At 51.4% G+C, this 26152-nt stretch overlaps 1 protein-coding gene and 1 non-coding gene across 6 annotated transcripts in view, besides 1 other annotated feature; both read right to left on the bottom strand.

The window, feature by feature from the left end:
* DNM2 (dynamin 2) overlaps positions 1 to 26152 on the bottom strand; it is a 113825-nt gene that overhangs the window by 29127 nt on the left and 58546 nt on the right. For 3 of the 5 annotated variants that reach the window (NM_001005360.3, NM_001190716.2, NM_004945.4), the window contains exons 5-12: positions 25561 to 25659; positions 19657 to 19817; positions 16071 to 16213; positions 8922 to 9057; positions 7338 to 7405; positions 6578 to 6716; positions 4205 to 4291; positions 419 to 489 (exon numbers count right to left, since the gene is read on the bottom strand). In NM_001005360.3, coding sequence (NP_001005360.1) covers positions 419 to 489; positions 4205 to 4291; positions 6578 to 6716; positions 7338 to 7405; positions 8922 to 9057; positions 16071 to 16213; positions 19657 to 19817; positions 25561 to 25659 — 904 coding nt within the window. Of the gene's footprint in view, positions 1 to 418; positions 490 to 4204; positions 4292 to 5258; positions 5398 to 6577; positions 6717 to 7337; positions 7406 to 8921; positions 9058 to 16070; positions 16214 to 19656; positions 19818 to 25560; positions 25660 to 26152 lie in introns of all 5 variants that reach the window. The other 2 variants (NM_001005361.3, NM_001005362.3) reach the window with 1 other exon arrangement.
* MIR4748 (microRNA 4748) lies at positions 22442 to 22523 on the bottom strand. The gene has a single exon (NR_039903.1). It is a non-coding gene; the product is annotated as a microRNA 4748 (primary transcript).
* Positions 25073 to 25422: an enhancer, noted in NCBI's record as "active region_13993". NCBI's record gives its function as "activates an Ori minimal core promoter by ATAC-STARR-seq in GM12878 lymphoblastoid cells {active_cell/tissue: GM12878}" and the evidence as "EXISTENCE:reporter gene assay evidence [ECO:0000049][PMID:35858748]".

Genomic DNA, 26152 nt, shown 5'->3' with positions numbered 1-26152 from the left:
GCAGCATTTCCCAAAGAGCAGCTTCCGGAGCCCTGAGCCCATGAGATGCTGTCCATGAAGTGGCAGAGTCTGGGAAAAGCTGCACACTGGTCGCTAAAGGCTCTGAGAAGTCCTGAAGGAGAGGGGGTGCAGCAGCTGGCTGGCTTCCCCCTCTCCCTGCAGATCTGAACATAGCACTGCCCTCTCCCTAAACTAACCATGGGGATGCCTCACAGAAGGCGTGTTGGTTGGGGACAGTGGACCACTATCAGCCCAGGAGAGCTTCCAGATATTCTCAGTTGGCTCTGCCTTCACCCCAGGACCCCCGACAGAGACTGTCTGACACCTGCCCTCTCAGAGAATCCCAACTCAGTCACCTCCTTGGATCTGAGAGTGAGGATTGGTGCCGCCCGACCAGCCAGTCTCTAAAAGTACCTACTTGGCAAACCCGATGAAGTCCTCATGGTTCGTGTTGATGTAGGACTGCTCAATGTCGATCAGCAGAAGAATCTGGGGGAGAGCGGGGGTCACTGTGAGTACAAGGCCAAGCCTGGCAAGGGGGGGCAGCGGCAAGAGCATTTCCTGGCCTTGCCAGCAGGGAAGGCGTGGGAACCAGGAGGCTTCCCAGACAGGAGAACAGGGGCTGGCGTCGCACTCCCCACACCCTCATAGGCAACAGAGCCTGGGACAACAGAGCACAGCCACGCAGCCCAATGTGCCAGTCACAGGCAGGGCCGCTGTCCCCAAGGTCTGGAGTCTTGATTGAGCCACTAATTGGCCGTGTGACCCTGGGCCTCACGTTACTGAGCTGTGGAATGGGGTGACAGGAGGCCCAACTGCCAAGGGTTTAATAATGTGCAGTTGTTTTTTTTGTTTTTTTTTTTTTTTTCTTCGAGACGGAGTCTTGCTCTGTCGCCCAGGCTGGAGTGCAGTGGGACAATCTTGGCTCACTGCAACCTCTGCCTCCTGGGTTCAAGCGATTCTCCTGCCTCAGCCTCCCAAATAGCTGGGATTACAGGTGCCTGCCACCACGCCCAGCTAATTTTTGTATTTTTAGTAGATACAGGGTTTCACTGAGTTGGTCAGGCTGGTCTCGAAATCCTGACCTCATGATCCGCCCGCCTCGGCCTCTCAAAGTGCTGGGATTACAAGCATGAGCCACTGCGCCTGGCTTTTTTTTTTTTTTTTTTTTGAGAAAAGAACTTACTGTCTCCCAGGCTGGAGTGCAGTAGAACAATCATAGCCTCAAACTCCTGGGCTCAAGCAACCCCCTGCCTCAGCGTCCCAAGATGCTGGGGTCGCAGGCATGTGCCACCACACCTGGCTGATTTTTCTTTTTTTGTAGAGGTGGGGTCTCACTATGTTGCCCAGACTGGTCCTGAACTCCTAGGCTCAAGTGATCCTCCTACCTTGGCCTCCCAAAGTGCTGGGATTACAGGTGTGAACCACTGCAAGCCACTGCCTTGTATTTTTTTCTTTTTCTTTTTTTTGGGAGACAGAGTCTCACTGTGTTACCCAGGCTGGCGTGCAATGGCGTAATCTCGGCTCACTGCAACCTCTGCCTCCTGGGTTCAAGCAATTCTCCTGCCTCAGTCTTCCGAGTAGCTGAGACCACAGGCGCACGCCACACCACCTGGCTAATTTTTTGTATTTTAGTAGAGACGGGTTTTCACCGTGTTGCCCAAGCTGGTCTCGAACTCCTGAGCTCAGGCAATCCACCTGCCTTGGCCTCCCAAAGTGCTAGGACTACAGGCGTGAGCCACCGTGTCCAGCCTGTAAAGTCTTTAGCGCCTGGCGTGTTCAAAGTGTTGCATTAAAACTGCGAAGCTAATTTGTCCAATTATGAACACTAAAATAAAACACACACGTGCACGTGCACGCGCGCACACACACACACGCTCAAGCTATCAAGCTAGAAAGGTCTCATGTGAGGAGCAGGGCTTATGAGTCCACTGCACTTGCTGAAACTCTCCCTCCCTCATCCTTCTTGTCTTTTGCCCAGGATGAAGTTGGTCTATGGGAACCATGGATCCAGGCAGCTCACTGGCTTGATTCCCATTTATAACAGGCCAGGCTGCTGGGGAGGAGGCGCTGGGATGCGCGTCACTGGACTCCCCTGGCCCTTGGCCAGTCACTTCCCCTCACTGCACCTCCAAGTTCCTGAGAATAAAGTAGGGCAAGGCACTCGGACCTGTCGCCTGCTGGAAAATGCCAGGGTGCTCCATCTGTGGGAGCGAGCGTGGCTGGTTTAGTAAGGCCTGAGTCTCCTCAACCCAGCGCTCTCAGATCCGGCCTGGCAGCATGGCAGGTGGGCACCAGGGGCTGTGGAAGGGCCGGCAGCATTCTTACCAACAGTAACAACAAAAAGAATCAGACTCTTCCAGACTTTTGATACAATTTCCAAGCTACAGCAGCTATGAGGCATAGGTGGACTGGTGCCCTGAGGGAGCAATTGGCCAAATCAAAACTGGGCGCCTCCCTGCAGGACAAATGAGCCCATTTCATCCCCATCAATGGCAAGGGGAGAGGGACCATTTTAAACAAAGTGACATAGCAAGCAAGGGCTTAATTAAGCTCTGGTTTCAACAAACAGTTGTAAAAAGAACACAGAGGACAACTGAGAGAAAGTGACTCAAAACAGATCTGGGAGCAGTGGCTCACACCTGTCATCCCAGCACTTTGGGAGGCTGAGGTGGGTGGATCATTTGAGCTAAGGAGTTCAAGACCAGCCTGGCCAACATGGCGAAACCTCATCTCTACTAAAAATACAAAAATTAGCCAGGCGTGGTAGCTCACGCCTATAGTCCCAGCTACTTGGGAGGCTGAGGCTGCGGCTGCAGGAGAGTATAAGGACGGCCCAGTGCTTCGTGGGTGACAGTCTCAGCTGAGGGGTAGGCAGCAACTTGGGGTGTGTGCTTGCATGCCTTTGCAAGAAAGCGTTAAATGTTAAAAAAAGAAAAAGCAGGCTGGGCGTGGTAGCTCACCCCTATAATCCCAGCACTTTGGGAGGCCAAGGCGGGCAGATCACCTGAGGTCAGGAGTTCAAGACCAGCCTGGCCAACATAGTGAAAATCTCTCTCTACTAAAAATACAAAAATTAGGTGGGTAAAGTGGCATGTGCCTGTAGTCCTGGCTACTTCGGAGGCTGAGGCATGAGAATCACTTGAACCTGGGAAGTGGAGGTGGCAGTGAGTCAAGATCGTGCCACTGCACCCCAGCCTGGGCGACAGAGCAAAACTCTGTCTCAAAAAAAAAAAAAAAAACAAAAAACCACAACACAAAAAGCACCCCAAACACCCTCCAGCAGGCAAGTGGAGGTCCTTGCTGTGCTCCATCCATTCCCTGGAAGATTGCTTAGTAATCAAGGCAGCAAACTACAGATACAACAAACAACACGCTTGGCTCCCAAATGCAGACGCCGAGGGGAGGGAGGGAGGGAAGAAGGGTGGCAGGAAGGGAGTCAAGAGTCAATGGGCCTTACGTTGTGGGAGTCCACTTGAAGGACTGTAGGATAGGGAGCGGGCTGGTGGTGGCCAGGGCCTGGGGATTTCCTTTGCTGCTTCTTTTTTAAGAGACGGGGTCTCGCTCTGTCTCCCAGGCTGGAGGGCGATGGCACGACCATAACTTACTGAAGCCTTGATCTTGTGGGCTCAAGGGATCCTCCCACCTCACCCTCCCAAGTAACTGGGACCACAGGCATGCGCCACCACGCCTGGCTAATTTTTTTATGTTTTCGTAGAGACAAGGTCTTGCTATGTTGCCCACGTTGGTCTCGAACTCCTGGGCTCAAGCAATCCTCCTGCCTGAGCCTCCCTAAGTGCTGGGATTACAGGCGTGAGTTACTACACCCAGCCTGGCCTGTGGGTTTTTGAGAGGTTGACTACAAAGGGGCATAGGGACAGGGATTTTAGGAGGTGACGGAACCGCTCTGTATCTTGATTGAGGTAAGGGTTACTTTGCCATATGCAGCTGTCAGCATGATAGGGACAGGGGTTTTAGGAGGTGACGGAACCGCTCTGTATCTTGATTGAGGTAAGGGTTACTTTGCCATATGCAGCTGTCAGCATGATAGGGACAGGGATTTTAGGAGGTGACGGAACCGCTCTGTATCTTGATTGAGGTAAGGGTTACTTTGCCATATGCAGCTGTCAGCATGCACAGAACAGTACACTTGACATTTACTGCATGTAAATTATACCCAATAAAGAAGACAAAAGGCCAGTACCTGGTCCTTCGTTCTCCCCTCCCGTTCCCGGATGTAAGTGGTGACGATTCGCTCTGTCTCCTCTCGCAACCGGGGGTAGGAACTGAGCTGGGGGAACAAGCAGAGTGGTCGCATTGGCGGGGTCCTCGTGGCACGGGAAGCAACATGAACCACACAGGTAGAAAATGCGGAGGGGGGTGGGGAATGAGATATGAGGGGGCCCACCGAGCCCACACCTTGCTCCTGGCCCCCAGTGAGTCCAGCTGGGAGCTAAGAGCAGAAGAGTGGGGGCACCGTGGACCGGAGACAGCAGGAGAGCAGAGCTGCTTTTCCAGCCAGTGACCGGGGGGCAGGAGGCAGGAGGCAACATGAAAGCAGAAAAGCAGGGGCATGTTTGCCATGCAGGGCTTCAGGGCACCCCCCTCTTGCCCAGCACTGGGTGAGAGCAGGAACCCTGAAGGGCCTCGCCAGCGTGAGTGAGTAGCGTCTGTTCTAGAATGGTAAGGCGGGTATCTGGGCCATCAGCCTCGATAGGAACTCCTTGCAGAGAACCACTCCTGATCACTGTATCTGTGGCACACACTCGCCAAATGCCCCCACCTCCCCAGGCTTCATCTGCAGCACCAACTTAACCAGACCTCATGCACAGGGGAGTCCCATCTTCTGCAGTGTGGGTCAAGTCCACGAGTCGGGGAAAATGGAATGGTTACTCTCAGGTGGCCTAGACTGTGAGAACATGCAGGGCTATACAGATGATGTGTTTCCTGTGTTTTGCTGTTTTGGTGCTGGCTGGGAAACCCCTTTCTCTAGGGGTTCCAGGAAAGGGCACTGCTTAGTAAATGCAATGCGTTTGGCAACAACAAAGGCTGACCGCCCCCACGGGCAGCCACAACCCACGTGTGATGCCACTCCCCCCATTCCATCTGCCAATGCAAGGTGGCGACATCTCTAAGTGACAACTGGTAGGCGGAAGGGGGTTCCTGCCGAGGCTGAATTTTCCAGATGCTCGGGTTGAGACTAACACATGGAGGGGGAGGACGGGGACAAATGCGGAGATGAGAACAAAACCTGTTACCTTCTCGGCACACTTTTTTATGACCGTGGCCAGCTCTGAGACCACGAGATCAACACACTTCAAACTCGGCTCTTTGAGTTTTACAATCTGTTTTTTCACAATGGCTTCAAAGGCCATGTCGGGGGTGAAGAGCCCCGTCCTGGGTCATGCGGAGGGCAGGATGAGGCAGAAAGACACCCAGGGACAGTGCAGGCCACACACGCAGGACAGGAGACAGAGAGAAGAGAAGAAACGAGAGTCATCTGATTAGTCCATGCATGGGGGAGCCTGCGCCCGCATTTGCCCCGGAAGCTGCTTCGGATCAAAGAGGTCTGGGGTTTGGGGGTGTGGGCTCGGTCTGGGGTGTAGTTACAGAAGGGCCACGGGGGGTTGTCATTGCACAGACAGACAGCCAAGGTGTGCGGAGTCCTCTAACATTCATGTCCATGACACCTGGCTCTAGGACGAGCGTTTTCCAACCTGTTTGGACTGTTTTCCCCCTCCCTTTTCTAATCGAAGAAGCTTAAGCAGCAAATGTGGGCTTTTCCAGACTAAGAACAGAGGGGCTCAAGCAGAAATTCCCTGGCAACCCGGAGCGCTGGGGACACTGTGGTCGCGCAAGCACAGACTGCCCACTGGGAGGCATTTCAGCTGCTTGGCCAAAGCGTGCTGCCCTGGGAACCAGGCCCGCGGCGTTGGCGCGGGTTGGGGGAGCCCGGCGCGTCCTGCTGAGTGGAGGCAGTGGCTCGTCGAGAGCGCATAGAGGCACTGTGACTAAGTGGATCCAAAAATGGGCTGCCCCTGGGGGACAGCGTGGGGTGCAGGGGGTGGGCAGGGGCACTTAGGACCCCAGCTGGCTCTCATGATGTCGCTGGCATTCAGGCCATTCCCGGAGCTGAGGGACAGAGAAGTCGGTGGCTCCAGGGAAGTCTGAGAATGCCGGGCATTGGTCAAGAAGGGGTGACAGCCAGGGAGCTTCAAGGAGCTCAGCCTCCAGCAGTTGACGCGGGGGGTCCCTCTCTGCTTCCCAGGAGGCAGCAAAGCAACAGCCCAGTGAAACCCCAATTTCATCAGACACATGCTAGGCTTGGTATCAGGGTCCCAGGGACAACTGTGCATCTGTCTGGCCAGTCCAGGAGGCCTGGCACTCCCCTGTGTGCCTGGGCCCAGGCCTACATGCTCCTGCCCCAGCCTCTGGGGAGAGGCCAAGTTCACGGACACAAAGCGATATGGGGAGAAAAGGCACCAGTGGGGGCCAATGAGGCGCTGGGAGCCTGATACCAAACCCCCGTACCCCCGTTTCCACAAGGTCAGGAGTCACCCTGCCGAGGGAGCAATACCTTACTGGTACACTGCCTAACTGTATTGATTAGCTCCTGGATAACCAGGTCGACACATTTCAGACAGGGCTCTTTCAGCTTGACGACCTGCTTTTTCACAATGGCCTCGAATGCCAAGTCCGGGGTGAAAAGCCCGGTCCTGAAACCGTCCAGACCCGGGGGCAGGGGAGATAAGTCAGAGAGAAACAAAGCATGGTCAGCAATTTCATTGGCCCTGGCCGGGTCCCCAACAAGGAATGAAGGTTGTGTCATGTGTGGGGTCGGATGCCTGAGTCCACTGCCCGGAAACCCTCAGGGTGACCCGAGGACCCCACGGCGATGGAAGGGCAGACACCTGGAGCAACTACCTTTGTTAGAATAAGGAGGGGACCCAAGAGGCTCACGAGGAAGCCATGATGGGGACTCATGCTGGCTTCCCAAAACCCTGATTCAGTGCCGCCCCGCCCCTCCCCAGGCAAATCTGCAGTGAGCATTCTTAGTTTAGCATGAGGTTCACACCAACCGACTGGGCAGGAACTAAGCCCTATTTGATCAGGAGCTGCAGACAGCCCTGAAGCCTGCAATGGACGCAGGACTAAGACACATCCACCCTCATGTGCCCTTGGAGACCCTCAGGGAGGGGCTCGCAGCTACAGAAAACCATCCAAGAGCCCTCTTAAGGCCTAACGATTAGGGACTCAGAGGTGTGGGTGACCCAATTAGCTGGGGGGTCGCACCACGGAGAGGAAGGAACAGTGGTGACTCTCCTCGTGGAACTTGCCTGACTCCATGGATGTTCTTAATGGCATAGCTGATCTCCCGTCGTAAGTCCTTCTCGTCAAACTCCATCTGAGAAGAGACAAACCAAGCACATGCATGGAGGCACCCGGGGCGCCCCCGTGGCAGGCGTGCATCTGGGGAACGTTCTCTCCCACGTGTGGCTATATTCACAAGGCAGAATATTTAACTCGTCAAAATTTTATTTAAAAAATTGAAAACTGGCCAGATACAGTGGCTCACACCTGTAATCTCAGCACTTTGGGAGGCCAAGGCAGGCAGATGGCTTGAGCCCAGGAGTTTGAGACCAGCCTGGGCAACATAGTGAGACCCCATCTCTACTAAAAATACAAAAATTGGCCAGGTGGGCTGGTGCACGCCTATAGTCCCAGCTACTCGGGAGGCTGAGGTGGGAGGATCATCCGAGCCCAGGAAGGTCGAAGCTGCAGTGAGCTGTGATTGCACCACTGCACTCCAGCCTGGGTGAAAGAGCAAGACCCTGTCTCAAAAAAAATAAAAATAAACAAACAAATTAATTAATTAAAACCCAGTTTCAGAAAGCATGACATGACACCAACTCTCTCATCATATTGGTGGGAATATAAATTCATGTAAACTTAGATTTTTCAGACTATCAGTATGCACCACCACACCCAGCTTTTTCTTTTTTCTTTCTTTTTGTTTTTTTTGTTTTTTTTTGAGATAGGGTCTGGCTCTGTCACTGAGGCTGGAGTGCGGTGGTGCCATCTTGGCTCATTGCTGCATCCTCTGCCTCCTGGGCTCAAGTGATTCTCCTACCTCAGCTTCCCAAGTAGCTAGGACTACAGGCACATGCCACCACACCTGGATAATTTTTGTATTTTTAGTAGAGATGGGGTTTCACCATGTTGCCCAGGCTGGTCTTGAACTCCTGGGCTCAAGTGATCAGGCCCCCTTGGCCTCCCACGGATTATAGGCGTGAGCCACTGCATTTGGTCTTGCTCCTCTGATTTTAAAAAACTGTTTGTTTTTTTAATAAAAAATGCTATGTGCTCATTGTAAACAGTATAAAACTTCAAGCAAATCACACACACACACACACACACACACACACACACACGGAAAAAGAAGTCCCAAATCCTAGCACCCAGGGCTGACATTTTTGCAAACATCCTTGCAAATACAAAGAAACACTTGTAGACAGACATCCATGTTCAGTTTCATACATAAGGATGTTGTATATATCAGCTCAGTGCTATGTTGCACATGCTGGCTCCAATGCCTATTTTTTCCTTCTTCAATGACATGCTAGGGACATCTTCTCATGTAAATTTATCTGTATTTTCTATGTATTTTGCAAAGAATGTATATTGGCTTTTGTCAGAGGAAAAACACAGGGGTTTTCATATTGTTCTGCCCAAAACCTCAAAGCTGAGTGTCAGAAAAGGAAGCCCATGGGGACACCTCATCCAGGCCACACCCTGCCCACCACAAGTTCAGGCCTAGAGGTAGGAGCTTGAGACCTTATTGCCTGGGAGGAGGCCTGGCTTGAGGCCAGCAGGAGGGTGCCTGACCAGAGACGGGAGGGCCCAGCCCCGGGGGGCACTACCTTCACCAGCTCAAATGGGAACCGCTCGTGGAAGATGCGATTGATTCGGGCGCCCCCGGAGAGCTCCAGAGTGTCCACCTGATCTCCTGAGCCCTCGATCCTCTTCTCAAAATCCACCCCAAACTGCTGGACCATCCTATGAGGAAAAGGAAAAAGCAAGCATCAAAACGGAGGTTTCCACACTACTCTGGAATGATGTTCCAAGTCAAGCCAGGGTTTACTGTTCTTTTACCATTTTTCAGCAGCAAAATGTCTTCTGTCTATATTAAGACAAATAAACCAAATTCAAGAGCTCCCAATGGCAAATGCTGGCTACGAGTCAGGCTCAAGCTAAGCCTGTTCCGATTATTCACCCATTCGATCTGAGAAGGCCCACTTATTCCTCCCACTTTGCAGAAGACAGGAGTGAAGTTCAGGGGTCAAAGCTCAGCACCTCTGCCCTGAAGCTCAACTTGATTTACAGGATGCTGGGAAGGAAAGGTAGCCACTTCCCCACAATTCAGGTGGCTTCCATAGGTTCCCGCCACCTCCCAGCCTGCTGGGGTTGGTCCTGACCCATCGATGGGATGTGAGGCCTTGGACAGGACTTTGCCCCTCTGAGCCTCCGATTCCTCATCTACAAAATGGGTTGAGGGTAACAACATCTACCTCCTTCGTGGAGACTGAAGATGTTTTTAGATCTCATTACCTCCAAGAAGTCACTGATCCTAAAATGCACTGTTATTTTGTGTGCCCACAAAAAAAGAAAAAATGCTGCCACTAATGGTAATTCTGCAAAGACACCTGGTTTCACACAAGTTAAAATGTTTTATTGGCCGGGTGCGGTGGCTCATGCCTGCAATATTAGCACTTTAGGATGCTGAGGTGAGAGGATGGCTTTAGTCTGGGAGTTCGAGACCACCCTGGGCAACACAGTGAGACCACATTTTATTAAAAAATATATATATATACTGGACACGGTGGCTCACACCTATAATCCCAGCACTTTGGGAGGCTGAGGTAGGCAGATCACCTGAGCCCAGGAGTTTGAGATTAGCCTGGACAACATGGCGAAACCCCGTCTCTACTAAAAATACAAAAACGAGCTGGGTGTGGTGGTGCACGTTTCTAGTCCCAGTTAATCGGGAGGCTGAGGCAGGAGAACCGCTTGAATCTGGGTGGCGGAGGCTGCAGTGAGCCGAGATCGCACCACTGCACTCCAGCCTGGGCGAGACAGAGTAAGACCCTGTCTCAAAAAAAGAAGAAAAAAAAGAAAGAAAATTTTTGTTGGTAAACAATTGCTCATCTAATGGACAAAAAGTGGTAATAACATGTGTCGCCCCTTAGAACGGGCCTGGCCCTTAAAAAGAGTCTCTCAGCATTGCCTATTGGCATCGTGAATAGTAAAAAAGTAGGATGATCTTGTTCACGTTTTAGTTTTCCTAAGCATTCCTAATTGCTCTCCTTAGGGTACTGGGCTGTCTCCCTTCATCAGTTTCCCTCCCAAAAATCATGATCTACTGAAGTACCTGGGGACTTGCTCCTAAAGGGGAACTGCTCAAATGGTGACCACTGTCAGGGCCACCAAGGCTGGGCTGCCAAAGAAAGGGGGGTCTCCTTCATACCCCAACTGGGAGAGGCAAGCACAAGCTGCCCAGATCCCCAAAATCTCTTTCCTCACATGAAGTAAAGGGTGTGCACATTTAATTTCCTTCCAGGAGACACACAAAGGCCTAGGTTAATGCTTCACCTGGAATGGGGAATTTGTTTTTTTTGTTTTTTGTTTTTTGAGCTGGAGTCTCACTCTGTCGCCCAAGCTGGAGCGCAATGGGACAATCTCAGCTTACTGCAACCTCCGCCTGCCGGGTTCAAGTGATTCTCCTGCCTCAGCCTCTCCAGTAGCTGGGAATACAGGTGCCCGCCACCATGCCCAGCTAATTTTTGTGCTTTTAGGAGAAATGGGGTTTCGGCATGTTGGCCAGGCTGGTCTCTCAATCTCCTGACCTCAAGTGATCCGCCCGCCTTGGCCTCCCAAAGTGCTGGGATTACAGGCATGAGCCACTGCACCCAGCCTGGAATGGAGAATTTGAATTGTGGACCAAACCAGGACCAAGGTCAGCAAAGGCATAGCACTAAACTAATGACAGACAACAGACTGGGCGACGGGGGGAGGGGGAGGGTTAGGCAAGGATGGAGACTCTGGGGACCTGCTCTCAGCCACAGGGGACAAAGCACACCTGGGCACCAGCCTCCTGGGGGCCCTGGAGGTGATTTACAGGCCCAACCCACGCTGCACAATCAGAGCATTCTGGACAATTGTGACCGGCTGGTCGGTGTCCCGCGGAATTCGGGTTGAATCCTGCCCCCCTGTACCTCGGAATGTACTCTTATTTGGAAACAGGGTCACTGCAGATGTAATCAGTCAAGAGAATATCACAGGGTGTGCTCATAGCCAATATAACTGGTGTCCTTATAAAAAGGGGGAGTTGGGCTGGGCATGGTGGTGCACTCCTGTAATCCCATCACTTCGGGAAGCTGAGGTAGGAGGATCGCTTGAGCTAAGGAGTTTGAGACAGCCTGGGCAACATAGTGAGATCCAGTCTCTAGAAATACTTTAAAAATTAGCCAGGTGCTGTGGTGCACGCCTGAGGATCAGGCTACTCAGGTGGCTGAGGCAGAAGAATTGCTTGAGCCCAGGAGGTCCAGGCTTCAGTGAGCCGTGATTGCACCAGTGCACTCCAGCCTGGGCAACAGAACAAGAGACCTTGTCTCAAAAGAATAAAATAAAATAAATAAAAATTAAAAAAACAAGGCCAGGCGTGGTGGTTCACGTCTGCGATCTCATAGTTGGAAAGTTCAGGCAGGCGGTTTGCTTGAGGTCAGGAGTTTAAGATCAGCCTAGGTAACATAGTGAGACCTTGTCTCTACAAAAATACAAAAATTAGCTAGGCATGGTGGCGCATACCTGTATTATTCCCAGCTACTCGGGAGGCTGTGGTGGGAGGATCACCTGAGCCCAAGTGGTGAGGCTGCGGTGAGCCGGGATTGCACCACTGCACTCTAGCCTGGGCAACAAGGCGAGACCCCGTTTAAAAAACAAATACATGAGGTCCGGGCATGGTGGCTCATGCCTGTAATCCCAGCACTTTGGGAGGCCGAGGTGGGCAGATCACCTAAGGTCAGGAGTTCGACACCAGCCTGGCCAACATGGTGAAACCCCTGTCTTTACTAAAAATACAAAAATTTGCTGGGTGTGGTGGCGCATGCCTGTAATCTCAGCTACTCAGGAGGCTGAGACAGGAGAATCGCTTGAACCTGGGAGGTTGCAGTGAGCTGAGATCATGCCACTGCGCTTCAGCCTGGGTGACAGAGCGAGACTCTATCTCAAAACAAAAACAAAAAAAACCACCAAATACATAAATAAAATAAAATGAAAAATTAAAAATCAATTTTAAACACGTATGTTCCTTAACCCAAGATCCCTCTGCTGGGGTCTTTGCCCTGCAGGAATCCTTGCCTGTACAGTCACAGATGAACTTACAAGCATCGGTTAAGGCCAAAAACAAACAAACAAACAAACAAAAAAACCCTGGGTGTCCCCATGGGCACTGGGATACATGAACAGTCTGTGGGCTGCACCAGGCGGAGACAGAAGGCTCCAGGCTTTGCTTTAACAAGAAGAGAAAAGCCAAGTGCAGAATTCAGGCTGGGGGAAGTCTATTACCGTAATTCCCGTTCTCTTGTAAGGCGTGAACCGAGAAAGACCGCCCATGTCTGCATGAGGACCTTGGACCCTCAGATAAAATGCTAAAGCAAGAAGGCCCAGCTCTTGACAGGAGACACAGATAACAGTGGCGCTTCTCCATGGTGAGAGTGCCTGGGCAGGGAGGGCCCTGCAAGGCAACTGGTTACAAATGACGTAACGTGCTAAGCCCCGGGGGACAGGGACTGTTTGTGATGGGCATCCCCTGGCCCAGTCCTGCCATAGGCTTAACAAGTAGTATTTAAATTTATTTATTTATTTATTTACTTATTTATTTTTGAGATACAGTCTCGCTCTGTCTGCCCAGGCTGGAGTGCAGTGGTGTGATCCTGGCTCACTGCAACCTCTGACTCCCAGGTTCAAGTGATTGTCCTGCTTTAGCCTTCCAAGTAGCTGGGACTACAGGTGCCCACCACCACACCTGGCTAATTTTTGTATTTTTTCATAGAGACAGGGTTTCACCATGTTGGTGAAGGTGGTCTTGAACTCCTGACCTCAAGTGATCCATCCACTGAAGCCTCTCAAAGTGCTGGGAATACAGGCGTGAACCATCGTCCCCAGCCTAATTTTTTTTTTTTTTCTTAATTTCAGAGACAGGATCCCACTTTGTTGCTCACGCTGGTCTCAAACTCCTGGCTTTAAGCAATCCTCCTGACTTGGCATCCCCATGTGCTGGGATTACAGGCACCTTGTAATCTGCCAGTTTGTCCCCATGGCCATGTGAGATGACAGCTGCTATGACCCTCACTTTAGAGGTGCAGAAAATGAGGCTCAGAGAGGTCCAATCACCTGCCTGTGGTCACCCAGCAGGCCCAGGTCCACCCTTAGGCTGAATCCTCCACAACAACACTTCCTTCAGTCTAGTAGGCTGAATCTTGTGTTTTGTTTGTTTGTTTGTTTGTTTCTTTGTTTGTTTGAGACAGAGTCTTGCTCTGTCACCCAGGCTGGAGTGCAGTGGCACAATCTTGGCTCACTGCAACATCCACCTCCTGGGTTCAAGCGATTCTCCTGCCTCAGCCTCCCAAGTAGCTAGAATTACAGGGGTGCACCACCATCCCCGGCTATGAATTTCCTCCTGAAGCCTGCAAAGGGCCACTATCTGCTCTGTAGAAAGTGTTTTGTAACGTAGTCAAGGCTGTCTGAGCATAAAAGCACTCTGGCCCCTTAGCCCACGACCATGCACTACTGCCTGGCAGAGGGGGTGGGGGGATGCCAGGGCTGTGATGGCCAGAGGAGGCGGTGTCCTCCTGGTGTCCCTGTGGGAAGTGCCTCATGCATGGCACTGTCTGCAGTATGAGCTACCCAGGTGTCCCTGTCACCTGCTCTGGTCCAGCTGTTCCAGTGCCTCAAGGTCCCTTACAGGCCAAAAGCCAAAAGGTCAGAGGCAGAAGAGTCCCCGAGTGAGAATTTGGGATTGTGGGGGCACACCTGCTTCCCAATCTCACAGCTAAGCAGCTGCACCAACCAAGTCATGGGGTGGATCTTAAGAGGCCAAGCTGGAGAGGGACCTAACCTAGCCAAGGTCTGGCTCCCACCCGCTCTCCCATGTCTCTTCTCCCACCACGGCTAGGGAGCCTGTGAGCACCTGAGTCAGTCCTGACTCTCCTGCGCTCAGAACTGTCCATGGCTCCCACCTCACTCACAGCAAAAGCCAATGTCCTCCCTGAGGCCCCACAAGGCCCTGCACAACCTGCTCTATCACCTCCTCCCACTCCCCTCACTCACTCCATCCAGCCACAGGGTCTTCCTCTGACATGCCCGGCCCAGTCCTGCCCCAGGGCCTTTGCACTGGCCGGGCTTAATCCCACACGGCTCCTGCCCTGCCCTCACCTGCTTCAGGTCTTCGCCTGACACTCAACTTCTTTTTTTTTTTTTTTTTTTGAGACGGAGTCTTACTCTGTTGCCCAGGCTGATATGCAGTGACACGTTCTCAGCTCACTGCAACCTCTGCCTCTTGGCTTCAAGCGATTCTCTTGCCTCAGTCTCCCGAGTAGCTGGGATTACAGGCGCCTGCCACCACACCTGGCTAATTTTTGTATTTTCAGTAGAGACAGGGGTTTCACCATGTTGGCCAGGCTGGTCTTGAACTCCGGACCTCAAGTGATCCTCCCGCCTCGGCCTCCCAAAATGTTGGGATTACAGGCGTAAGCCACCACCCCTGGCCAACACTCATCTTTTTTTTTTGGAGACGGAGTCTTGCCCTATCACCCAGGCTGGAGTGCAATGGCACGATCTCGGCTCACTGCAACCTCAACCTCCTGGGTTCAAGCAATTCTCTTGCCTCAGTCTCCCAAGTAGCTGGGATTACAGGCATGTGCCACCATGCCTGGATAATTTTGCAATTTTTTTTTTTTTTTTTTTGAGACAGTCTTGCTCGATCACCCAGGCTGGAGTGCAGTGGCGTGATCTCAGCTCACTGCAAGCTCCGCCTCCTGGGTTCATGTCATTCTCCTGCCTCAGCCTCCTGTGTAGCTGGGACTACAGGTGCCCACCACCGCGCCCGGCTAATTTTTTTGTACGTTGAGTAGAGACAGGGTTTCACCGTGGTCTCAATCTCCTGACCTGGTGATCCACCCACCTCAGCCTCCCAAAGTGCTAGGATTACAGGCGTGAGCCACCGTGCCTGGCCTTTTTTCTTTTTTTTAAACAGAGTCTCACTCTGATGCCCAGGCTGGAGTGAAGTTGCGCAATCTCGACTCACTGAAAGCTCCACCTCCTGGGTTCACGCCATTCTCCTGCCTCAGCCTCCCAAGTAGCTGGGACCACAGGCGCCCACCACCACGCCTGGCTAGTTTTTTGTATTTTTTTTTTGGTAGTGATGGGGTTTCACCACGTTAGCCAGGATGGTCTCGATCTCCTGACATGATCCGCTCGCCTCGGCCTCCCAAAAGTACGGGGATTACAGGTGTGAGCCACCATGCCCAGCCTAATTTTGCAATTTCAGTAGAGACGGGGTTTCACCATGTTGATCAGGCTGGTCTCGAACTCCCGACCTCAGGTGATCCACCCACCTTGGCCTCCCAAAGTGCTGGGATTACAGACGTGAACCACCGCTCCTGGCCGGCCAATGCTCACCTTCTAAAGGAGGCTGTTCCCGACAACTCCCACACTAGCACCACTTTCATATTTTGACATTTAACACACTATACATTTTCTTTCTTGTTTTTTGTCCCATTCGTCCCACTTCCCCCCATTCTGAGCACTCCAGGGGCAGGGACGGACACCTGTCCCCTCCACTGGGGCGAATGCCATGCTTAGGATGGAGCCTGGCACGCAGAAGGCTTGCAGCAAGTGTCTGCTGAATCAATGAGTGGACGAGTGATGAGTGGTGCCCAGCCTAGGGGGCCCTGTGGCTGATGGAAGGCAGGGGCCAGGGTGGTGGTGGTGGTGGGTGCCGGGGTACATACTGCAGCAGGGCTTTGGTTTTGCGGGTGGGGTCGTCGGGCCGAAAGTTCTTGTACTCCTCCACCTCCTTCTCCAGGGACAGCAGCTGGCTCTGTAGTTTGCTACGTAGGGCCGGCAGCGACTCCCGGATGTGGTTGGTCAGTTGCTGCAGGAGAGAGGTCAGAGATCAGAAAGGGTGGCATGGGCAGGATACCAGGGAGTGGCAGACACACTCCCCCCAACCAAGGGCCAACACCAGGGTGCCACTATGCGGCCACCACACCACACAGCCTTGAGAGACAGCAACAGATAAATCAAGCCACAGACACACTCATGTCTGGGAACGGAGACGGCACGGAGCTGCCCATGAGTGTAAGAGGCTACAAACAGCCCACGGGGCCGACATCAGGCACTGGGCCTATCCACGCCTTGGAGGACAAGCAACAGCTTGCAAGGACAGTCCATCCAGACCACGGAAACGGGGGCCAATGAACACACATGGGGACAGGCCCTACAAACTAAGATGGAAAGATCGCCCCTGAAAAGGTGGAGAATGCACTCAAGATGAGCTCCCCGGCTGCATCTGCATCTACAGAGAAAAGCAAGGAAGATTCAAAATAGACAAATGTGGGCCAGGCATGGTGGTACACACCTGCAATCCCAGCACTTTGGGAGACTGAGGCAGAAGGATCACTTAAGATCAAGAGATCGAGACCAGCCTGGCCAACACAATGAAACCCTGTTTCTACCAAAAAATACAAAAATTATCTCGGTGTGGTGGTGGGTGCCTGTAGTCTCAGCTACTTGGGAGGCTGAGAAAGAACTCGGGAGGTGGAGGTTGCAGTGGGCCGAGATCACACAATGGCACTCCAGCCTGGGTGACAGAGCAAGACTCTGTCTCAAAAAAAAAGAAAAAGAAAAACAAAGCCATAAAATCAGCCTATACTTGCAAAGTGTAAAGCAGAGTTTGGCCATCTGTCCTACAACAGAGAAAGCTGGGTGCAGTGGCTCACGCCTGTAATCCTAGCACTTGGGGAGGTTGAGACAGATCACTAGAGGATAGGCGTTTGAGACCAGCCCAGGCAATATGGTGAGACCTTCTCTCTACAAAAGATAAAAAAAGTTTTAAAAATTAGCTAGGTGTGGCAGCACACACCTGTAGTCCCAGCTACTCAGGAGGCTAAGGCAAAAGGATCGCTTGAGTACAGGAGGCTGAGGATGCAATGAGCCGTGTTTGTGTCACTGCAATCCATTCTGGACAACAGAGTAAGACCTTGTCTGAAAAATCAAAAAGGCTGGGCATGGGCCGGGGGCAGTGGCTCACACTGTAATTCCAGCACTTTGGGAGGCCAAGGCAGGCAGATCATGAGGTCAAGAGATCAAGACCATCCCAGCTAACACGGTGAAACCCCGTCTCTACTAAAAATACAAAAAAAAAAAAAAAATTAGCCGGGTGTGGTGATGGGTGCCTATAGTCCCAGCTACTCGGGAGGCTGAGGCAGGAGAATGGTGTGAACCCGGGAGACGGAGCTTACAGTGAGCCGAGATTGTGCCACTGTACTCCAGCCTGGGCAACAGAGCGAGACTCCATCTGGGGTTGAGGGGAAGGCCGGGATGGGTACAGTGGCTCACGCCTGTAATCCCAGCACTTTGGGAGGCTAAGGCGGGCAGATCACCTGAGATTAGGAGACAAGCCTGGCCAACATGGTGAAACCCTGTCTCTGCTAAAAATACAAAAGTTAGTTGAGTGTGGTGGCGCACGCCTGTAATCCCAGCTACTTGGGAGGCTGAGGCATGAGAATCACTTGAACCTGGGAGGTGGAGGCTGGAGTGAGCTGAGATCATGCCACTGCACTCCAGCCCGGGCAACAGAGTGAGGCTCTGTCTCAAAAAAAAAAAAAAAAAAAAAATCATCAAAAAAATAAAAAATAAATACAAAGTGTCTGGCGAGCTAGAAAAGAGGCATGAAGGAACCTCACATCTATGGCATGGAGCAAGTGGGGTAACCCAAAGACCTCCGTGACCAAGGGTCCCTGCCCTGCAGCCCTGGCCATCGACCCCCGTCTATGTGGGCTGCCTAGAAAGGCAGGGAGCTACGCTGGCCTTCCCTTGGTCTGTGACAGGATACTAGGGCACTTAAGTCATGAGCAAATGGAGAGGAAGGGGCGCTGCTGCTCTGGGAAGCACCCCACGTGGAAGGAGGCTGAGCCCCCTCCAGGCTCCCTGGAGGCCAGCTGGACTTTTCACTGCTGGCTCTCAGGAGGCCCCAGCCAGCTGCGGAGTTTTACTTCCCTTCCTCTCCCTACTCCCGTTTGTAAGCACCCCAGCTTCCTCTCCTGGAGGGCCCCTCCCTCTAGACACTGACTTCCCTCTTTGCTCTCCTGAGCTGCCTTCTCTGGGTGGCTCTTTTCCCGGCCCCCGCGCCCCTACTGGATTCTTGATCGTGCATTTATCTGGCGGTTTGTTGGGTGTCAGTCTCCCCCATTAGAATTATGCCTTCTACAAGGACAGGAACCTACTCTCGTGTGGACACTGTGTCCCCCTGATATGTGCATGAAAAGATGACTGCTGGAGTGCTGCTGAGGCCCTGCTGCCACCCTGGAAGGTGCTAGAAAACAGCGAGGAGGAGCGTCTTGCCCCTGCTACCACACACTGGCCCACTGTATAGCTTTTAATACCATTTCTGTTTATGCACCATGTGAATCAATTACTTACAAGAAGAGAACGATAGGCCAGGCATGGTGGCTCATGCTTGTAATCTCAGCACTTCAGGAGGCTGACACAGGCGGATCACTCGAGCTCAGAATTTGAGACCAGCCTGGCCAACATGGTGAAACTCCATCTCTACTAAAAATACAAAAATTAGCCAGGTGTGGTGGCACACGCCTGTAATCCCAGCTACTCAGGAAGCTGAGGCAGGAGAATCACTCGAACCTGGGACGTGGAGGTTGCAGTGAGCCAAGATCATGCCACTGCACTCTAGCCTAGGTGACAGAGTGAGACTGTGTCTCCAAAAATAAAAAATAATAATAATAATAATAATAATAATAATAAATAAAAAAGAGTTATTAACCCCCTGTCACCAACCCCAGGCAATGCATACAGTCTTCTGGGTAAATGACTGAATAATTACAATGATAATTAAAATTTTGGTAATAATAACAGTGATGGTTGTAATAGTAGCAGCACCAAGTCACTGAACATCTGCTCTTCACCAGACCCTGAATCAAGTACATTTCTTTTATTTAGTTATTTAAGTTTTTGAAACAGGGTCTCACTCTATTGCCCAGGCTGGAGTGCAGTGGCATGAACATGGCTCACTGAAGCCTTGATTTTCCAGGCTCAAGTGATCCTCCTGCCTCAGCCTCCTGAGTACCTGGGACTACAGGCATGTGCCACCATGCTTAGCTAATTTTTTCTATTTTTCCTAGAGATGGGGTCTCCATATGTTGCCCAGACTGGTCTCAAACTCCTAGGCTAAATGTGGACTGAACCCATTTTGCTAAAACAAGTGCTGCTCTAGCCTGAAACAAGTGCCAGTGAGGATTGCAGCTGTTGTGCAGTGCACAGCCTATGCCACTGCACACTACGTGCAAACCCTTGCAGTACCTGATTCAGCGTCTTCTGCAGATGTGGCGTGCCCATGCGGTCGGCCATGTGCCGGTAGGCCGGGTGGGAGAGGAAGAACTTCCTCTCAGCTGCCAGTGCTGCACGGATGTCCTTCTTGCCCTCAATATCCTTCTGGCTGCGGTTCACCACGCCAATGTAGCCTGTGGGGAGAGGCAGTCAGGTCAGGGGCAAAGCTAGGTGAGCCAAGTGGACCTGGCACGGGGATGGGCAAGATTCAAGTATAGAGATGGATCCTGTCCCACGAGGCACTCACAGCTGTCATAACATGTTACTCAGAAACAACACAGAGGGTGCGAATGCACATGGCAGCTGCGAAGAGCAACATTAAGTATTTGGAGGAAGGAGAGCTCACATCCAGCCTGTGTGCGCAGGGACAGAAAAAAGCTTTGGGGCAGATGAAATCTACAAGCTGAGATTCAAAGATAGGTGAGAAAAAAATCTCGGCCGGGAGCGGTGGCTCACGCCTGTAATCCCATCACTTTGGGAGGCTGAGGTGGGTAGATCACAAGGTAAGGAGCTCGAGGCCACCCTGGCCAGCATGGTGAAACCCCGCCTCTACTAAAAATACAAAAAATTAGCCGTGCATGGTGGCGCGTGACTATAGTCCCAGGTACTCGGGAGGCTGAGGCAGGAGAACCGCTTGAACCCGGCAGGCGGAGGTTGCAGTGAGCCAAGATCATGCAACTACACTTCAGCCTGGGCGACAGATCAAGACTCTGAATAAAAAGAAAGAGAAAAAGAAAAAGAAAAAGAAAAAAAATCTCAAGGCCAGGTGCGGTGGCTCACGCCTGTAATTCCAACACTTTGGGAGGCCGAGGCGGGTGGAACGCTTGAGCCCAAGAGTTCCAGACCAGCCTGGGTAACATGGCAAAACCCCATCTCTACAAAAATATACAAAAATTAGCGAGGCGTGGTAGCACACGTGTATAGTCCCAGCTACCTGGGAGGCTGAGATGGGAGGATCACCTGAGCCTGGGAGTTCGAGGTTGCAGCAAGCTGTAATCACCCCACTGCACTCCAGCCCGGGCAACAGAGCGAGGCCTTGTCTCACAAGAAAAAAAAGAAATAACATCTTAAAAACAAGAGCAATAGGGAAGAGCTAAAATCCACTATCAAACGAGTATATTTTAAACAGTTGGGTACATCAGGGTATTCATGTCCAGAGAGATCAATGGAACTGAAAAGAAAGTCCAAAACTACACCGAGAAGGAGGTAGAACTGAAAGTTAACGCTTCAGTATATGGGGGAGAAAAGCTGGATAATTCAATACACACTGTTGCAAAGAATCCAAGTGGAATGCCTACCATTGCACTCCTGGCTAGGTTTTTGTTTTGTGGGGTTTTTTGTTTTGAGACAGAGTTTCACTCTTGCTGCCCAGGCTGAAGTGCAGTGGTGCAACCTCAGCTCACTGCAACCTCCACCTCCTGAGCATCTGGGATTACAGGCGTGCGTCACCACGCCTGGCTAATTTTTGTTTTTTTAGTAGAGACGGGGTTTCACCATGTTGGCCATGCTGGTCTCGAACTCCTGACCTCATGATCTGCCCGCCATGGCCTCCCAAAGTGCTGGAATTACAGGCGTGAGCCACAGTGCCTGGCCTGTGCTCCCTTTTCTTTGTAGTGGGGTTGTGCATGTTTCTCTTGAGAAGCAAGGGAGAGGTGCCGGTCATCTATCCTGTAGGGTCTTGTGGGATGTGACTGCTCTTCATCCTCGCCAGATCTCTCTTGGATCCAAGAGGGAGGAGGGAAACGAAGACATGCCAAGGTGAGGTCACAGTAGGAGACCCAAGATCTGAACCTAGATCCCTGTGAAGCCAGAGTCACCATCACCTGTGTGACAGCACAAAGAAGGAAACAGCAGGGGCCAGTAAAAAGCATCTGGCTTGGATTTGGCTTGATTTACTTAATTAAGAGATGGAGTCTCGCTCTGCTGCCCATTCTGCATTGCAGTGGCACAATCATAGCTTACTACAGCTTTGAACTCCTGGGCTCAAGCCATCCTCCGGACTCAGCCTCCTGAGTAGCTGGGAGTACAGGCACGTGCACCATCACACACGGATTTTTTTTTTTTTTTTTTTTTTTAAAGACAGAGTCTCACTCTGTCACCCAGGCTGGAGTACAGTGGTGCAATCTCAGCTCACTACAACCTCTGCCTCCTGGGTTCAAGCGATTCTCATGTCTCAGCCTCTCGAGTAGCTGGGATTACAGGCATGCACCAACACACCCAGCTAATTCTATTTTTAGTAGAGCTGGGGTTTGATCCACCCGCCTTGGTCTCCCAAAGTGCTGGGATTACAGGCGTGAGCCACTGTGCCCAGCCTGGATAATTTTTTAAGAGAGAGATGGGGTCTTGCTGTGTTGCTCAGGCTGGTCTCAAACTCTGGGCCTCAAGCCATCCTCCCAACTGTGCTTTCCAAAATCCTGGGGTTATAGGCATGAGCCACCACGCCTAGCCTGGGTTCCCGTAAAGGAGGAGGAGTTGTGAGTCATTAGTACGCCAGGAAAAAGGGTCCAGTGGGAGGGCTTCTGAAGCCTGAGGTCACAAAACGGGAGCAGGCCTACAAGTGAGCTGAGAGTGGAAGCGCCTTCGTTCTTAGAAACAGGAAGGAAGGCAGAGAAGGGCAGCTGTGGACATCAGTGAGTCAGGAGGAAGGGGAAGAGGCCCATATCACCAAATCCTCAGCCTGGCTAGTGCCCACAGACCCCAAAGGCCCTTAGGATCCAAGATGGAGGCCTAACAGTGTCCAAGGGCAGCCGGGTCGGGGTGGCTGTAGTAGGGCGTGGGGTTGGGTAGGGTCTGCTTTCCTCTCTAGCACCAGCAAATCCTCCCCAAACCTCAGCCAGCCACAGATTTGCTTCTCAGCCCCGGATCTTCACAGCTAAACAGGGTTTTGAATTTAGCCCTGACAGCATTCCCCTGGGATCCGGGGTCGCCTCACCACTCAATATCTCAGCAGTGCTGGGGGATGCTGGCAACCAAGGTCTGAACTTTTCCCCACATCTATCTCAGACATCGAGGTGGAAAACCCAGGAGTAAAAGAAATGCTCTAAATGACTGCGGCTAAGCATGAAGGGAAAGGCAGGAGGTGCCCGCAGCTTAGAGTAGATGCCAGAGGGGAGGAATGGCTTTAAAAAAACACAAAAGAAGGCTGGGCACGGTGGCTCATGCCTTTAATCCCAGCATTTTGGGAGGCTGAGGCGGGTGGATCACATGAGGTCAGGAGTTCAAGACCAGCCTAGCCAACATGGTGAAACCCCATCTCTACTAAAAACACAAAAATCAGCTGTGTGTGGTGGCGAGTGCCTGTAATCCCAGCTACTCAGGAGGCAGAGGTTGCAGTCAGCTGAGATTGTGCCCCTGCACTCCAGCCTGGGCAACAAGAATGAAACTCTGTCTGAAAAAAATAAAACAAAACAAAATAAAACCTAGCCAGGAGCAATCGCACATGCCTGTAATCCCAAATACTTGGGAGGCTGAGCTCGGAGGATCACTTGAGCCTGGGAGTTTAAGGCTACAGTGAGCTATGATTGTCCCAGTGCACTCCAGCCTAGGTGACAGAATAAGACATCGTCAAAAAAAAAAAAAAAAAAAAAAAAAGAAAGAAAGAAAGAAAGAAAGAAAGAAAAAAACTTATAACAGCAAGAGTGAACCCTGATGTCAACCATGGATGTGGGGTGGGGTGGTGACAATGGGTCAACGCAGGCTCATCAGTTCTAGCAAATGCACCGCTCTGCTGGGCACGTTGAAAGTGGGAGAGGTTACAGATGTGTGGGCTATAGGGCTGATAGGAAATCTCTGTATCTCCCTCTCAGTTTGGCTATGAACCTAAAACTGCTGCTCCGATAAAATAAAATGCTTGAAAAATTTTTCTTTTTTTTTTTTTTTGAGACAGACCCTTGCTCTGTGGCCCAGGCTGGAGTGAAGTGGCGCCATCTCAGCTCGCTGCAACCTCCACCTCCTGGGTTCAAGCGATTCTCCTGCCTCAGCCTCCCGAGTAGCTGGGACTACAAGTGTGTGCCACCACGCCTGGCTAATTTTTTGTATTTTTAGTACAGACAACATTTCACTGTGTTAGCAAGGATGGTCTTGATCTCCTGACCTTGTGATCCGCCTGCCTTGGCCTCCCAAAGTGCTGGGATTACAGGTGTGAGTCACCATGCCCGACCCAAAATATTTAAAATATTTTTAAAATAAAATAAAAAATACTTAGGTTACTCCTATCAGAAGATCTGTACCTGAACTTGAACCTGAACCTGATCTAATTACCAGCTAACAGAGAACAATAATTGGCCAAATCCCAAATGTGGGATGTGGTCTGGTTTCTTCCACAAATGAATGGTATAGAAAAAAACAAATGGGATGGCAAGGGGAAGTATTTGAAAAGAAATGTGGGTATTTATGTGTAAAATGCTACAATGCCTAGGATTTATAGAATTTTTTTTTTTTTAGAGGCAAGATCTTGCTCTGTTGTGCAGGCTAGAGTGTAGTAGTGTGATCATAGCTCACTGCAGCTTCGAACTCCTGGGCTCAAGCAATCTTCCCACCTCAGCCTCTTAAGTAGGTGGGACTATAGGTGTATGCCACCATGCCCAGCTAACTTTTTAATCTTTAGTAGAGACAGGGACTTGATATGTTGCCCAGGCTAGTCTTGAACTCCCAGCCTCAAGGCATCCTCCTGCCTCAGCCTCCCAAAGCACTGAGATTACAGGCGTGAGCCACCTCGCCCAGCCAGTGCCTAGGATTTGTGTTAAAATCTTCCAGGAAGATGGCCGGGTGCGGTGGCTCACACCTGTAATCCCAGCACTTTGGGAGGCCGAGGCGGGTGGATCACGAGGTCAGCAGTTCGAGACCAGCCTGGCCAACATGGTGAAACCCTGTCTCAATTAAAAATACAAAAATTAGCCACGCGTGGTGGCTGGCACCTGTAATCCCAGCTACTCGGGAGGCTGAGGCAGGAGAATGGCATGAACCTGGGAGGTGGAGGTTGCAGTGAGCCCAGACTGCACCATTGCACTCCAGCCTGGGCAACAGAGACTCCGTCTCATAAATAAATAAATAAATAAATAAATAAATAAATAAAATGAAAAAATAAAATATTCCAGGAAGAAAATAATAATAATAACCACCGAAGCTGGGGAAGCCATCCACGAGGATTCTTTGAACTTTTTTCCACACTTTTGGGAATGTTTGAAAATGCTCATAATAGGCCGGGTGCGGTGGCTCATGGCTGTAATCCCAGCACTTTGGGAGGCCAAGGCAAGTGGATCACCTGAAGTCAGGAGTTTGAGACCAGCTTGGCCAACACAGTGAAACCCCGTCTCTAGTAAAAATACAAAAACTAGCTGGGCGTGGTGGTGCCCACTTGTAATCCCAGCTACTCAGGAAGCTGGGGCAGGAGAATCAGTTGAACCTGGGAGGCGGAGGTTGCAGTGAGCTGAGATTGTGCCACTGTACTATAGCTTGGGTGACAAGAGCAAAAACTCCGTCTCAAAAAACAAAAAGGAAAAGGAAAAGGGAAGGGAAGGCTCATAATAGAAAGTAATAAAAAAATTAATTAAAGTTATAAACCCTGGGGAGCTGGGAGCTGCAGATTCACCAGTGGCTGTCTGGGGGAAGTGTGGCTGCGGGTGAGTTTAGTTTCCTCTTTCTATACACTTGTTTTCTAATGTTTCAGAAACCAGCAGGTGTTAATTGTGCACTTGAAAAACGAATGCATACAAATCAGAAGAAAAAGATACATAGCTCAAAGGGAAAAGAAAGAAGGAGTTACGGTGAAATGGAGAAGCAATGACTTCCAGGCAGGCAGGGAACAGGTGCTGGGGTTTCAGTAATGATAAGGACCCCACCCATCCTCCTGCTTCCCCAGCACCCCCAAAGCCACACCTCTTCTCAACGGGAGCAACTTGTTCTCCAAGACGTCCCTGGCGTCGGTGCCCTCGTCCATCAGGTCAAGCTTGGTGATGACACCGATGGTCCGTAGGCCTGAAAGAGCCCAGAGGTCAGAGGTCAGAGGCTGCCACCAGGAAAGAGCATCAGCTGGCAGCTGCAAGCCACCTGGGGTCCAGTTGGCCCTGAAACTTCCAGGTCACATCACCTGGGAAAGCCAGAACGTCACAGGCCTGGACCCCAGTTTCCGACATGTCGAATGAAGATGGTCACAGCCCTGATCTCACAGGGTGGTCATAAGGGTGAGCCTGGCACACGGCAAATACTCAACAAATGCTGGCCGTTATTGTCATTTGTGTTATTAAGGACAACCTCTGCTGCTGCAGGCTTTGGGAAACCTCACGTAAACATGATTCCTGGGCCAGATTTTGATGCTGGACTTTCCAAGTGCCGGCAAAGTCCCAAGGGAACATTTGAGTTTGACACGACTGTTTCCAGGACTACCTCTTGCCTGAATGGCTAAAATTCCACTCTGGAAACCATCCCATCCAATTCCACCTCTCCACAAGTCATTCCAGAGTCAAGGATG

This window comes from Homo sapiens, chromosome 19 (assembly GCF_000001405.40).
Source record: "Homo sapiens chromosome 19, GRCh38.p14 Primary Assembly".
Lineage (NCBI taxonomy): Eukaryota > Metazoa > Chordata > Mammalia > Primates > Hominidae > Homo > Homo sapiens.
The sequence above is the reverse complement of the archived record's forward strand: the minus strand, read 5'-3'. Positions and strand labels throughout refer to the sequence as shown.